Source organism: Homo sapiens, chromosome 20 (assembly GCF_000001405.40).
Source record: "Homo sapiens chromosome 20, GRCh38.p14 Primary Assembly".
NCBI classification, from domain to species: domain Eukaryota; kingdom Metazoa; phylum Chordata; class Mammalia; order Primates; family Hominidae; genus Homo; species Homo sapiens.
The window spans coordinates 24,851,798-24,868,543 of record NC_000020.11 but is presented as its reverse complement, the minus strand read 5'-3'; positions in this window follow the sequence as shown (position 1 = coordinate 24,868,543).

Below are 16,746 nucleotides of genomic sequence, written 5' to 3'. Positions count from 1 at the left end.
CACGCAGCATGTGCCTGACCGCTGGCTAGGCCAGCAGGAGATGTCCCCAGCTGAGCCCAGCCCTGCTTGCAGAATCCTAGCAAACAAAGTGACCGTTAATTTAAGTGGCTGAGTTTTGGGGTAGCTGAAACTCCCACTCCAGGTCTATCCTCTAACTCCTGCCTGGTGGGCAGAGGTAGCTGATCCACCTCCTGCTCTGGACAGACCTGGCTCTGGCACTGGGAGGACTTGATGACGCAGGGAGAGACTCCATGAATGACACTGGCGTGGGCAGGCTGGCAAATAGGGTACCAGCAGGAGCGGCCTGAGTTGGGTGGTGTCTCTGTGTCCATGGGTTCTGGGGCAGACACTCCCAGGCAGTGCTAATCTGCCCATGGCCCAGGGGACACCTTGGAGCTCAGCTGACTGTTTTTTGCAGACTATGGCTCAATCTACAGTGTTGTCCAAAGCATCCTTCACAGGCTACCAGACATAAAGCATGTCTAGGTCATCCTGTTCTTCACCGAGTAGGCGTCAAGCTCAGCATCTGACATAAGTGGGCTCAAAACTAGCTACATGGAGGAGTGTGTGAGAGGGGAGTCTTCCCCTGGGGCTTCCATGGTGGATCCCTTATAGCCCTCATCAGACCCTGAGCTATTCTCTGTAGCCAGACTGAAGGCGTTGGGAGGCCAGGGATGGATCTCTAAGGGGTGCCGGGCGCACAGGAAGTGCCCAGCAATGCTTGTGGTAGGAAGAAGTGTGGGAGACGGACAGCCTCAAACTCTTCTGGATGCTTTTACTGCAGGCAGGTGTGGCGTGCGCATGCACAGGACAGAGCTGATAAAGAATGACATTTGTCTCCTCCTGGGAGGCACAGAGAGTCCGATGTCTGTTATGTGTCAATAATTCTGCGTTATTCAAAATTTAGCTATTGTGACCAAAACACATTTATAAACTCACCTGTCAGTATCTCTTTCCATCTTCTCATCCCTTGAGGGTCAGAGGACCCTCAAGATGGATCAGCAGTGACCTGGTGTGTGTGAAGAGGGGTCCCGGGGGTGTGGAGCCTGCAGGGCATTGCAGAGCTGGCAGTGCCTCTGCGTCGTTGCTCCATGGACTCTGTCTGCCCCCAGCTCCGCTCCTCCCATGTCACCATCCTCAGCCTGCCCCACACACTTCCACTCTGAAACTCTGTGAGATGTGAAGGTCTATCTGTGTGTTTTCAATGAATGCAAGTGCACTATCCATCTCCTATTTCTTACCTCTGCTCTCAGCCTGATGCTTTTCAGATTCACACGGTCCTTCCTGGGCCTCTGGCATTGCTTTGTGCAGCTGTTAGTGTTTTTTTTTTTTTTTTTTTTGAGATGGAGTCTCAATCTGTAGCCCAAGCTGGAGTGCAGTGGCGCAATCTCGGCTCACTGCAACCTTCGCCTCTGGGGCTCAAGCGATTCTCTTGCCTCAGCCTCCCAAGTAGCTGGGACTACAGGGGCACACCACCACACCTGGTTAATTTTTTTCTATTTTTAGTAGAGACGGGGTTTCACCATGTTGCCTTGAGTGGTCTTGAACTCCTGAGCCCAGGTGATTCACCTGCCCTGGCCTCCCAAAGTGCTGGGATTACAGGCATAAGCCACTGTGCCCAGTCAGCTGTTAGTCTTTTTATGTGCCTTTGACATTCAGTTACTCCCTCCTTCTGATGGTGGCATGTGGGTTGTCTTGAATGCTATCACGACACCTGAAGAACATTCCTGTGTGTTTCCTCAGGACACCTGGGAGGAGGATCAATGGGTCATCATCACCTTTTTTTCCCCAGATTTATCACTAAGTATTTTGTAGTTTTTGATGTTTGTTATAGGTCATATTTTCCTATTTCTTTATGCGCTTGGTAATTTTTGATTGGCTGTCATAGATTGTGAATTTTACCTTGTTGGGTGCTGGGCACTTTTGTATTTCTAAAATATTTTTGAGCTTTGTTCTGGGATGCAATGAAGTTATTTGGAAACAGTTGGATCCATTTTGGTCTGACTTTTAAACATTATTAGTGGAACAAGCAAGAAAGGCCTTTAGTTGAGGGCTGATGTTCCCACAAATGGGGCCAGATTCTTCGAGGACTCTTCTCAGTGCCTGGTGTGGCTGGTGGGAGCTGTCACCACTTCTGGCCCTGAGTGGGAGTGACTACAACTCCCTTTCTTCCTTTCCAGGGTTCTTTCCTGTGTCAGGAGGCTTCCTTGCAGCATGTGCTGATCAGTTCCCATCTGATCCACCAGCTGTACAGAGAGGTACAGGAGGCAAGGCACTGAGACTATCTGTCTACAGCTCTGTGAGTGAGCCACCATGGATGTGGGTTCTCCTGCTCAGTCACGCCTCCATGACCACAGTCCCAGCTGCACCTTGACCACCAGCCTGTGAGAGACCCTGAGTCAGAAACTCCACACCCAACTGAGCCACTCCCAATCCCTGCCCTCAGATGTTGTGTGAGATAATACATGCTTGGAGTGCTAAGCCACTAGGTTTGGGTAATCTGTTTTGTAGCAGGAGATAACCAGCACTTATGCTAATGTGTGCCCACCTGTACACCTATGCACACATGCTCCCTCCATCCACACTTTCCACTCCCTTCTATCCCCATGTTCCTGACCAACCCCTTTCGAGGCTCAGCTTCCCTGCCAGATGCCCTTGATTCTTTTAGAGGGAGGAACTGCTCCTGTGAATGACCCTAGAGCCTTCTCTGTGCCTACACTTTAAGGACACCTGTATTCTACCTTGTTATCACCTTTCCTGTGTGATTTTTGTCTCTCTTCCCACTCTGTGTTTCCTGAGGGCAGGAGCTGAGCCAGAGACATGAACATCTGTGGCTCCATATCTGGTTGTCCCACTGTGGAGATGTCACATGCCCTCACACACCACAGCAAAACTGTCTCCCACACCTGGCCCTGCAGAGCTCATGTGACATGACACATGCATCCATACCTGGGTTTCCCATATTATGGGTCAGGGAAACAATTTCTCACACCTGCAGGGCTGGCTCTACTCACACACCTGAGACTTGGGCCAGGAGGAGCCTTTCAGGATATGGGACTGCTATGGTTTGAATATGTTCCCCAAACTTCAGGTGTTGGAAACTTAGTCCCCAAATCCATATGTTGATTGGAGGTAGGGCCTTTGGGAGGTGATTGGGGTTACAAAAGGTCATCCCAGTGGGGCCCCCATGATGGGACCAGTGGCTTTATAAGAAGAGGAAGACCTCATCTGGCACATTCTTGTCCTGTCTCCATGTGATGCCCTCTTCCATGGGAAGCTGTAGCAGGGAGATCCCCACAAGATGCCAGTGCCATGCTCTTGGACTTCCCAGCCTCCAGAACTATGTGCCTAAGACTGGATCATTTGTAAAGAAAAGAAGTTTAATTGACTCACATTTCCAAATGGCTGCGGAGGCCTCAGGAAACTTACAATCATGGCAGAAGGTGAAGGAGAAGCAAAGGCACATCTTACATGGTGGCAGCCAAGAGTGAATGAAGGAGGGAGCCCCTTATAAAACCATCAGATCTCTTCTCACAGTTCCACTAGGCAGTGCTCCAGTGGGGACTCCCTGTGGGGGCTCCAACCCCACATTTCCCTTCCATACTGCCCTAGCAGAGGGTCTCCATGAGGGCTCCACCCCTGCAGCAGACTTCTGCCTGGACATATAGGCATTTCCATACACCCTCTGAAACATAGGTGGAGACTCCAAATCTCAACTCTTGTCTTCTGTGCACCTGCAGGTCCAATACCATGTGGAAGTAGCCAAGGCTTGGGGCTTGCACCCTTGGAAGCCATGGCCCAATGTGTACCTTGGCCCCTTTTAGCCATGGCTGGAGCTGGAGCAGCTGGGACTTGGGGTGCCATGTCCTAAGGCTGCACAGATTAGCAGGGCCCTGGGCCTGTCCACAAACCATGTTTTCTTCCTAGGCCTCCAGGCCTGTGATGGGAGGGGCTGCTATGAAGAACTCTGAAATGCCCTGGAGACATTTTCCCCATTGTCTTGGCTATTAACATTCAAGTCCTTGTTACTTATGCAAATTTCTGCAGCCAGCTTGAATTTCTCCCCAGAAAATGATTTTCTTTTTTTTTCTACCACATGGTCAGGCTGCAAATTTTCTAAACCTTTATGTTCTGCTTCTCTTTTAACCATAAGTTCCAATTTCAAACCATCTTTGTGTGAATGCGTATGACTAAATGCTTTCAGAATCAGCCAGGTCACTTCTTGAATGCTTTGCTGCTTAGAAATGTTTTCTGCCATGTACCCTAAATCTTCTCTCTCAAGTTCAAAGTTCCACAGATCTCTAGGGTAGGGGCAAAATGCTGCCAGTCTCTTTACTAAAGCATAGAAAAAGTGACCCTTGCTCCAGTTTCCAATAAGTTTCTCATCTCCACCTGTGACCACCTCAGCCTGGATTTCATTGTCCATATCACTATCAACAGTTTGGTCAAAACAAGTCTCTAGAAAGTTCCAAATTTTCCCATATCATTCTGTATTCTTCTGAGCCCTCCAAACTATTCCAACCTCTGCCCATTATCCAGTTCTAAGATTGCTTCCACATTTTCAGGTTATCTGTATAGTAGTGCCCCACTTTTGGTAACATTTTCCTGTACTAGACCATTTTCACACTGCTATAAAGAATACCTGAGACTGGATAATTTATAAAGAAAAGAAGTTTAATTGACTCACAGCTCTGCATGGCTGGGGAAGCCTCAGAAAACTTAGTCATGGTTGAAGGCGAAGGGGAAGCAGGCACTTTCTTCACAAGATGGCGAGAGAGAGAGAGAAGTCCTGCACTTTTAAACCATCAGATCTTGTGAGAACTCACTCACTATCACCAGAACAGCAGGTCCCTCCATCAACAAGCAGGCATTACAATTTGAGATGACATTTTGTTGGGGTCACTGAGCCAAACCATATCAAGCAGTGACAGGGATGTGGGGAAATGGAATTTCTTAAACATGAGAGTTGAGGTTAGTGCAAATGCTTGCAAGAGAAATTTGGCTGAAAAGATGTATTGACTCATGTTATTTAGAAGTGTATTGCATAATATCCAAACATATGGGGATTTTCTAGTTATTTTAAAATGATTTCTAGCTTAGTTACATGGTGTATGTTCCCCATATGACTGGTCCTTTGAACTTTGTTGAGTGTTGCGAATGCTCCAAGTACTCTCGGAAGCAATGCACACTCTGCGGTTGTTGGGATTCAGGTCAAATTGGGTCATTGTGTTGTTTCTCCTAGATCTCTGCTGATTTTTTCCCTTCATGTTCTGTCAGTTATATATAGAGAGAGGTTTGAATCTACCCCTATGGTCGTGGACTTGTCTACTGCTCCTTTTGGTTCTGCAAGGTTTTGCTTAGGATGCATGTTATTTCATGCCAATAGTTTAGAACATTGCATTTCTGTTTGGTTGTCACCTTCTGTCATTCTAGAATGCCCCTTATCTGTATTACTGCTTTTTGTCTGATGTTAGCATTGCCACAATAGGTTTTTCTTATTATTTTAGTTTCAACTCTTCTGTAGCCTTATATTTCAGATGTGTCTGTTATATGTTATTCTTGCATTAATTATTTGGCTAATTTCATTCCCTAGACATTTGCTGATGACCATGCCAGATGCCCACTTGAGAGCCTGGAGAGAGTGGCGTGTAGCACCCTCTGCCTGCTGAGTAGCCTGCATGTGCCCCTGGGGTCTCTGGCTCCAGGGCCTGTGTTTATCCTGCTATGGCAAACCGCGCTGCCTTCTCTAAGGCAGCATCTCCTGGTGGGAACGGTATTATCTGCTTTGAAGTTCTGATAAGGACCGGCTAAGTGAGTGCCCACTTGTTAATCATTCAACATGATGTATGGCACACAGCAGGCTCTCGGAGGTGATGTCAGCTGTGCCTGTTGGTGTGGTCTTTGACCAGCAGTGCCAGTATCACCTGGGATGCCAGCATTTCAAGTTTATCTGCGGGGATTCTTTGTGGTTTGTGTTGAAAATACCTCCAGGCAGGATATAAGTTTGCTTCTGTCAGGTGCCTGGAGACTGCGGATCTAGGTCTACCTTAACCTGGATTTTCAGTTTGTACTTTTCCACCACAGAGGCAATGGGACTTCCAGCCCCAGCCCACAGAGGTGTTGTCTTCTCAGCAGAGAGGTCTTTCTCTTTCAAAACTCCAAGGTCTCCTTTCAGCATCAGAACTGTGTCAGTTCCCCCTGCTGTACAGCCGAGGCTCTGGCCTTGTTCCCTGACAGGTTCTGGTGTTAGACAAGCTCCTTGCCCCCACAACCCCTTCTGCCTCAGCCAGATCCCAGGGCCCACGCTGCCCTGCGGGGGCTTTGCAATTGCTTTCTCCTTGCAAATCTTCCTCCTCACCCACTTCAGACATATGGTAAGTCCAGCCTCACATTCTGGCCTTACAACTCAACAGCTGTGTGACCCTGGGCTACCCTTTAAAAATTTCTCTCAATCTTGGTTTCTATGTCTGTAAAATGGCCACATATTAGTACCCTAATGGCAGCTATTTCTTTCTTCTCTCTTTGTCTGTTCTTTCTATCCATTTTCCTTCACTTTGAGTGACTATTAAACCAAGGCCAATAGAAACCTGACCACGTATTAAATTAGATGGAAGCTTGACTTACAATATTACAATGGTTCCTTAGAAAATATTTCACCTTTAGATCTATCCTGCTGGCATCTTATTGCCTCTCTGATTTGCCAAGATAACAGACAACAAAACAAAGGGCCTTAACATAAAAATATCTCTTGATAGCTGATGTAATAAAGCTTCAACCAGAATTCAAGTAGCTCTTGCTTTTAAGTCATGAGAGATAAGTAAATAGCACTGCATGAAATGACAACCAACAAAAGTGCAGACCTTTAAAGGCGTTCTGGATGTTGGCATTTAAACACCACTAGAATGTTTTCCAATCACTGGACCCTTCTCAAGATCTGGGCATTAAGTCCTTTGAATGTTTCTCAAAGGATAAAAATACACTGATTGCCCATATATTTTGAGTCCTGTACACGTAATGAGTGCTTTTGCTGTATTGCCAGATGCTCTGAAAGGGGATAAGATTTTAATTAGTAGTCAATAAAATTCCCTTCCATTTTTCAATGTAATGGATCTGCAAACAGTCACTGCTCCCTACTCATTATTCAGCATGGCTTCCAGAGTCACTGGTTGCTTGGCAGTTGCAGGCTATGAAAAGTTCAGGGAAGTTGCTTTGCCTCTCCTCTTCTGGGTGTCATTCCCTCTATCTCATTTCCTCCAAGGGATAATTTCCAACTGGAGACAGTGATGCAATGACTTTCCTCTGGTCCTGAGGACTTCCTTTAGGAACTCATCTGTGGCTCTCACACCCATCTGGAAAGGCCCCCTTCTCCTTCCAGCAGCTAGGGTCACAGCTCCCATAAGCAGCTCAAGAGGCAGCACCCTGCTATGCCCCAAAGCTCCCTCTGCCTTTTGGGTCTTATTAGAGATGCCTGCCATATACATGTTCGCACACTGGTGGGCCCTGGGCTGGCTTTGGAAGGACAGCACCTGCTGCTGTAAAAGCCACCAGGAGAAGATGCCTGATGGAGACTTAGCTAGTGCAGCAGGAGGGGGCAATGTAGTATACAAAGGAATGGAGGGTAGACCCCACTCACTCATCCATCCACCCATCCACCCACCCATCCATCCATCCATCCATCCATCCATCCATCCATCCATCCACCCACCCACCCACAGTTCCCTCCCTGCAAACCTGCTTCCACCCAAAACTCCCTCCCTTAGCTCTCTCCACCGAAACCTCCATCCACCCAAACCTCCCTCCATCTATCCACCCATTTATTTAGGCATTAACAAACAAACAAACTAACTTTTCTGTATAAGCATTTGAAGACTCTGAGCCTGTTGCTGGGGTTACAGAAACAAGACATGGTCTTGCCCTCAAGTTGCTCAGTCTTGTGTCTGAGACTGACACGTAAGCAGAAATTCATATACAGTGTGATGAGTGCCATCACTGGAGAACATTCAAGCAGAGAGGAGAAGATTGCTTTTGGAGTGGGGAGCTCGTCACAGAATTGACATTTGCTAGGAGCGGTGGAGACTTACCAAGGAGCTGGGGTGGGCTGAAATGGGAGTGCCTACTGACAGCGCCTACTGACAGCGTGGTAGGGACGAATGTACAGCAAGGGGGAGGGGGTCCTACATAGACTGGGAGTGGCAGGCAGGTTGGGAGAGAGTGCAGGAGCTGGGTCACGAGGGCCCTCAGAAGCGTTGCTGCAGGGTTTGGGTTTTACTCTGCAGGAGATGAGGAATGTGGAGAAGAGGTGTGATAACAATTGGAATTGCATTTTGAAAAATAATTCTGCTTGCTCTTCGGTGAATGGACCAGAGGAAGTGAAATGAAGAAAAGAGACCAAATGGGAGGCTGTTGCTGTGGCCCAGGCAGGGGGTGCTGATGGCAAGAGATGCTGGTAGCCAGAGCCAAGGCAGGCAGTCACTGGTCAGCAGAGGATGCCCTATGGTAAGTGGTGTTGGCAGAGGGTGAGGAAGAGGAACGGGGATGGATTCGAGACAACACTCAGGCATCTACGCTGGTGGCTGTGGTGGTGCTGGGGCCACCTGGAGCCGTGGGAATTGGGCTGCAGGCTTGACAGGAACGGTTATGGCGTGATTGTGGCAGGTGGACAGTGGGTGCTGTGTTCACTTTTAGGTGTCTGTGAGATGCTCAGGCAGAAAGGCCTCGCGGGTAGATGAGACATGTCTGAAGCTCAGGTATGAACTGCAAGACGAAGACGGAGTGGATACTAGCGATGTGAGGGTGATGGAGGCAGAGACAGGGAGGTGACTGGCGGCAGCCACAGAACTCCTTGGAGCCTCTGCAGATGCCCCAGCTCATACACTAACAGTTCTAATAGCCAAGTTAGTGTTGGTTCATATGGAGGCTTCTGAGGAGTTAAAAATGTTCTGCAGTTCCACAGGAACTGCTGGTAATTTGAGTCTCTTCTATATCATTTCTGGATAATAAATGTTTGAGGTCAAATGCAGGACCTCACATCAGGTGATTTTTGGCCCGATGCTAGCCCACCAGGGCCTCTCTGATTTGCTGTCAATAGATGCGCCTTCCCTCCCAGCCCTGTGCCCCTCCTGCCTGGTGGGTCCCGCAAGGGTCCGCCTGTGCCCCTCCCGTGTGGTTGGTCCTGCGAGGGTCCGCCTGTAGGCTGCTGATCAAAGTTGACTAGAACAGTACCTGGGGGCGGCTTCCCTCAGGGGTGCAGGGACTGGACGCTGGGGATTTTCCTTTGGGGGTGGTCTGTACCCCTGTGAACCCGCCTTTAGGTATCTGAGGACCTCCCAGTGCTCTCCTTTGGGCACCAGGATGCTGGCACCAGGGCCTTCCTGTCATCCTGACAGCCCCTAGAAAGTGTGCAGGCAGAGGTCCTGTGGTTGGTGCACTGCCAGCTGGCCTCCATGCACCCAATCTAACTCGTGATTTTGGTCCCTCTGAGAGGTGAAGCCAGCTGGCCTTCTGGATAGGGTAGGGACTTGGAGAACTTTTGTATCTAGCTAAAGGATTGTAAATGCACCAATCAGCGCTCTATATCTAGCTAAAGGATTGTAAACGTACCAATCAGCACTCTGTAAAATGGACCAGTCAGCAGGATGTGGGCAGAGCCAAATAAGGGAATAAAAGCAGGCCACCCGAGCCAGCAGTGGTAACCCACTCGGGTCCCCTTCCATGCTGAGGAGGCTTTGTTCTTTCACTCTTCACAGTAAATCTTGCTGCTGCTGCTGCCTCTTTGGGTCCCTACTACCTTTATGAGCTATAACACTCACTGCACCGGGGTTTGTGGCTTCATTCCTTAAGTCAGTGAGACCACGAACCCACCGGAAGGAACAAACAACTTTGGATGCTCCACTTTTAAGAGCTATAACACTCACTGCGAAGGTCTGCGGCTTCACTCCTGAAGTCAGCAAGACCACGAACCCACCGGAAGGAAGAAACTCTGGACACACCTGAACATCTGAAGGAACAAACTCCAGACACACCATCTTTAGGAACTGTAACACTGCGAGGGTCTGCGGCTTCATTCTTGAAGTCAGCCAGATCAAGAACCCACCTGAAGGAACCAATTCCGGACACACCTCTTCCCTTCATTTGACGGATTTGGAAGTTGGAAGGCCATGGGCTGCCCATTTCTTTCAGGACGAGAGTGTGGAGGAACGGGAAAGTCCCCCCTCTTTGTGGGGCACTGTGGAAACCCAAATCGCAAGGTCATCTCTTTGTTATTTGTGAAAGAATGGACAATTGTGTAAGTGGTTAGAAATCTTTAATTTCACATTTCTTAAACATCAGGTTTTCAAAAATGGGTAGGTCAATCATAGAGGAACTGCATGTGGGCACGGGGCTGGGTTGGTGGGCAGCACCACGTGGCATGGGGAGCAGGCACCGTGTGTGCACTTAGCGGGCCCTGAGGGCTTGGGAGGAGGGAGCAGTGCAGGGACCTGCAGTGGCATGATGGTGCCAGAGTTGACATGGCTCGTCTTTCACATTCGCAAGAGGCAAGACAACTTTCTGTGGACAAGTAATATTTCCCAATGGAGGATTAGCAGGTTGAAAAGCTGTAAACGGGCACAAACCATGTATCTTCTGCCCTCTGAGTCCTTGGGAGGGTGAGATGTGGAGTTCAGGCCGCACCCAGACAGAAGGAAGTGTGAGGGGTACCCCTGTCTGCCTCTCCGCTTTCTTTCCTGGGACCTCAGCACCTCTGCAGCATCCCTCATCTCATCCTGCTTTGTGCCCTGGAATATGGACAAGGGATTCAGCGCCCAGGGCTGCAGGGCCTCCCTCGCCCCTTGTGGTGGGAGCGTGTCTTTTATCCTCCGTCTGAAGGTGAGGGTGTGATAATGGCAGCCCCCTACCTGCAACAAGCCTGAAGATGACACCCACTCACTCCCACTCCTCAGGATGGGATGGCCCCTCCTCGGCCACCATCTTCACAGCCCTGAGCGCTGGGCGGTGGGCTCTTTAGGGACGTCTGGCCCCAAGCAGCAGGCAGGGATGGACTCTGGGGAGGTCTTCATAGAGCTCAGGAGGCCACGGAGGGTGGCACTTGCCCTGCAGGTGTTCAAAGACCAGATTTAGGAAGGGAGCAGATATAGAGGAGGTGGCTCAGAGAGCCGGGGGATGGTGCTCCAGGGCTGCCCTGTCCTTTAAGCTCATTTTCTTTAATTTTTGACCCATTAGCATAACTATCTCAAACATCTCCTCCTTCAAAGGCTGGGCTCTCCTCTTTCATGTGTTACTGTAATCACCCAACAGGTGCTTCCTGCCACAGCACAAACCAAATAAGCTCACTGAGACCAGGGCATTGAAGAAAAGAAGAGTTTAATGAACGCCAGGTCAGCCATATGGAAGGTGAAGGTTTCACTCAGTCTCTCTGAAGGCTCAGAGGTCACGGTTTTCAAGGATGGTTTGGTGGGCGGAGGGCTAGGGAATGGGTGCTGCTGATTGGCTGGGATGCAATCATAGGGGTGTGGAAAATGGTCCTCCTTCATGGAATCTGCGTCTGGATGGGGACCACAGGACTGATTGGGTCATGAGTCGAGTCCACCTCTGGGTGGGGTCAGTCAGTTGCCAGAATGTAAAAATCTGAAAATTATCTCAAAAGACCAATCTTAAGTTCTATAGTAGTGATGTCATCTGCAGCAGCAATTGGTTAAGTTGCAAATCTTGTGACCTTCAGAACAATGGCTGGTATTCGTTAACTACATCTATATCTTAATCCCTCTTATAACCCTAACTGTGGCCTTTCATTAGTTTTACAAAGGTGGTTTAGTTTTGGGAAGGACTCTTATCATCCTTGTTTTAAAGTTAAACTATAAACTAAATTCCTTCTAAACTTAGCTTGGCTTATGCCAAGGAATGACCAAGGACAGCTTGGAGTTAGAAGCAAGATGGAGTCAACTATGTCAGATTTCTCTCACTGTCAAAATTTTGCGAAGGTAATTTCATTATGCCTAAAATTGTCATGATTTAAAAACACCAGACAGCAAGTCCCTTCAGTCAGTTGAGTAAAAACAATCATTTGAGATAATGAGCAGATAAGTTAGCTACAGGGCAATTTCCCCCATTTTCACTTAGTGGTTTTGGCTTAGGTAACTCAGTGTAACAGATATGGCAAGACATTTAACCCTGGGGCATGGAAGTGTCTTAAAGACCTCCTGGTCTGGTTCTCTGATTTTACAGATGAGGAAACTGAGACCCAGAGATGGGATGTGATTTGTCCAAAGGCTCTGTGTCTTATTCAGGGGGCACAGTGACCAGGCCAGCTTTCTGACTGCCTGTCTTGTGACTTCTTAGCTAATAGGTGAAAGCCACCCAGTCAGTTTTACAGAGTGGATGCACATATGGGTGTTTGTGGCACTGAGAGGCTGTGAGGAACCCCCACATAAGCGGACCACCCACTGGAGCTCTGTTGGCTTCTGAAATCCTTTCATCAGAGAGATCTGTTACAGGAGTAACCAAAGGACATGTCTGTGTTTTATCTCTCATTGACAGGTTACCACAGAAGGATGTTGAGGGCTCTGTGACTTGGTCTTGCTACATTCACTGAACAAGTGGTGCAAAGAAAGATGGGGGCATCAGCACTGGGAAGAGGGGAGGGTTCTTGGCAGAAGTAGGGAGCATCCAACAAGCTGGGGCTTGGGGTCTTGACAGGGGGGAAAGTCAGTGCCCATGCTCTAGGTCACAGTGAAACTGACACAGGTGCCCCAAGGAGGGACCTCCAGTGCAGGCAGAGAAGGCCTTGCCTGTAGAGAATTTTACAACGATAATAAAACTGACATCTCTCTGCTTGTTGTTATGACTGTGCACTGGCAATACTAAACAGTGTCAGTGATAAAATATTGCTTCCTGAAAAAAAACTCTTGTTGGTCTAAGCTCTAAACAATTGCTTTGATTATTGTTGAATATATATATATATAATGTGTATTGAGAAATAAAGAAATTCCAAGCTCCCTCAGCTGACTGAATGGATCCCCTCTTGGCCAATGGAACACCAGGGGAACCTTGGAAGCTGAATTCACGGCCATGATGAGATGGGAGATCAGACATAACCTCACTGACCCCTCCCTTGTGAACAGCCATTAGGTTTTCTTCCCTAAGAGTTAAAGAGAAATTAGGCCTTTCGAAAGACTGCTAGCTGATCTTCCCAGGTACAGAGCAAAGACAAAGCATGAGATTAAGCTCATCATTCCTTCACCCCTCCCCAAGATCTCTGCTTGCTCCATTCCCTTTTTCTTCAAATGTTCACCTTATCTTATGTAAAATTTAGATTTACTTGGCATTAACTCAAATCTCACAATTATGTAATCATTTCTCTCATTGCTGTCCCCCTCCTTTTTAAGGAAAATGTCTATATAAGAACCCCTCTAAGAACTTCTTTGGATAAAACAGCCACAGATGCCTCCGTGACTTGACTTTCTCCTGGGCACATCCTCCAGCTGGCTCAAAAAGCCTTAGTGGTTTGAGACTTATGCTGCAATCACTCATTTTGGTTGTCAGTTTGTATATTATATATAAGCTTCAAATTAACAGACATGTATTATCTTTTAAAAAAGTATTTTCTACAGAACAGTTAATCGGCGAACTCTCACCTACAGAGGCAGCCCCGGCACACCTAGATTTAGCCATCTGATTTTGTTTTGAGTGTCCATCCACAGCCATGCAGGATTATTTGAGCTTGACTCAGGTGTGTCTTTGCAGTTGATGGCTTCAAACCCCATGGTCCTCCACATTCCTGTGTTTACACTGTTGGTTCTGTAATCACCCAATGTGTTCTTCCTGGCTACAGCACAGACAAAACCAATTCACTGAGGCCATGGTATTGCAGTAGAGAAAGAGTTTAGTTGATGCAGGGCCTCTGAGAGGGAGGACTGGAGTCATCACTTGAATCAGACTCCCTGAGAACTCAGAGGCTAGGGTTTTTATGGATAACTTGGTAAGTAGGGGACTAGGGAATGAGTACTGCTGACTAGCTGGGGATTAATTAATAGGGATGTGGAAAATGGTCCTCATGCACTGAGTCTGCCTCTGGGTGGGGCCACAGGACCAGTTGAGTCATGAGTTCAGATGGGATCAGTTAGTGGCCAGAATGCAAATATCTGAAAAGCATATCAAAAGGCCAATCTTAGGTTTTACAATAAGTAATGTTACCTATAGGAGCAATTGGGGAAATCACAAATCTTGTGACCTCTGGCCACATGACTCCTGAGCAGTAAGGTATTATAGGAACTATGCTGATATCTTAGCAGAATTCAGCCCTCTCCTGTAATGCTAATCTCATTGCCTTTTAGTAGTTTCAGTCCCTGAGCCAGGAGGGAGTTAGTTTTGGGGAGGGACTTTTATCCTTGCCTCCAAGTTAAACCATAAACCAAATTCCTCTCATGGTTATCTTGGCCCATACCCAGGAATGAGTGAAGACAGCCCGCCTGTGAGGCTAGAAGCAAGATGGAGTTGGCCATGCTAGATTTCTGTCACTGTCATAATCTTTGCAGAGGTGGTTTCAATTCTAAATAAAACATGATTGCAATGTATCTGTAAAGGCAATGAAGAGAACTTGAGTTATTAATTCTATCATTCTGTGTGACCATTCAGTTTTAATTTATGATTAAAATTTAAAACAGTGAAATAGAGAATGACTTTTGAGGTTTTCTTTTCCTTTTTTTTTTTTGTAAGAGCAAATTTTGGTTCTTATGTAAAGCTAAAAGGAGGAGACTGAAACACAAAATATAATTTAAAGAATTTACTTGAGTCAAGGTGAGGAGAGCTACCTGAAAGACTCAGCCTCAAGTAACCTGTTACAAGCAGATTTTTAAAGGCAAAAAAAGTAGCAAGGGACAGGGAGGTGGCTGATACAAAGTTGTTTGTCAGGGATTCTCACTGGTTTACAGAAATAACATTGATTAGTGATGGGCCGTACATTGTTAAGCTGTATGTAGGGTGCGGGTAATAGTGTCTGGTGTGGCATTATTCAGTTAATTTACAGCTACTTGTGTCATTAGGAAGTGGTTTCAGGAGATGTTCACATAGCTCAAGGTTGGGTAGGATGCGATTGCTGTCTCATTTAACTCTCTCTGGATCTGACAATTTAAAAGGACTTGCATTCCTCAGGCAAAAGTTCTTTTGTTTTCTCGCAGGAAATACTTTGCTGAATTTGATTAATAACATTAGCAGAAATTTCTGCTTCCATTAAAATTGTTAATCACTTTAAATCTAAACAAACCAAGAAAATAATGATTATTAATGATTATCACATGACTGTTTACTTTTAAAGTTAAGTTTATTGAGGTATAATTTGCAGATTAAAACTCACCCTTTTACGTGAACAATTTGATGATTTCTCTTGGGTTAGAACCTAAGAGTTTGACTATGGTGTTGTATGGTAAATATATGTGAAACCGCCTTTGCAAAATTATGACAGTGAGAGAAATCTAACAGAGTTGACTCCATCTTGCTTCTAACTCCAAGCTGTCTTTGGTCATTGCTTGGCATAGGCCAAGCTAACTTTGGGAGAAATTTAGTTTATAGTTTAACCTTAAAGCAAGGATGATAATAGCTCTTCCCCAAAACTAAGACACCTTTGTAAAAACTAATGAAAGGCCACAAGCTTAGGATTTTGAGAGGGGCTGAATTCTACTAAGATGCAGGTGTAGTTAACCAATACTAGCCATTGTTCCAGAAGTCACAAGAAGTGTGACTTCTCCAATTACTCCTGTAGATGACATTCTTATTGTAGAACCCAAGATTGGCCTTTTGAGATTTTTTTCCCCCAGACTTCTGCATTTCTGATAACTAGTGATGCTACCTAGACTTGAGGCTTGTGACTCAATGGTCCCATGCCCCCCCCAAAGAGGTGGACTCAGTGCACAAGAACTGTTTTCCACACCCGTATGATTTTATCCCCAGCCAGGCAGCAGCACCCATTCCTTAGACCCTGGCCCACCGAACCGTCCTTGAAAAACCGTAACCTCTGAGCCTTCTAGGAGACTGATTGAGTGATAACTTGAGTTATCCTGCATGGCTGGCCTGGTGTTAATTAAACTTTTTATTTACTGCAATGGCATGGTCTCAGCAAATTGATTTTGTCTGTGTAATGGGCTGGAAGAACCCATTGAGCAATTACATATACTTAACTTTATTAGAAACTGCCAAACTCTTTTTCAAAATGTGGTACTACTTACATTCCCACCAGCCAAGTATGAAAGTTCCATTCACTTCATACCTCACCATCACTTGTCATTATCTGTATTCTTCTGTTTAGATTATCTATCTATATATATATATAGCCACAAATATATAGCCACATATATAGCCATATATATATATATATATATATATGATATGGGGTCTCTCTTTGTCATCCAGGCTGGAATGCTGTGGTGCAATCCTAGCTCACTGCAGCCTCAACCTCTCAGGCTTAAGCTACCCTCTCACTTCAGCCTCCTGAGTAGTTGAGACTAAAATCATTCGCTACCATACCTGGCTACTTTTTTAAAATTTTTAAAATTTTGTTAGAGATGAGGTCTTGCTGTGTTTCCTAGGCTGGTCTTGAACTTCTGCGCTCAAGCAATCATCCTGCCTCAGTCTCCCAAAGTGTTGGGATTACAGGTGTAAGCCACTGCCCCCAGCTCGCTGTCTGTACTCTTAATTTTAATCATTTTAGTGTGAGGTGAGGTGAGGTGAGGGCTCATTTGCATTTCCCTCTTGCCT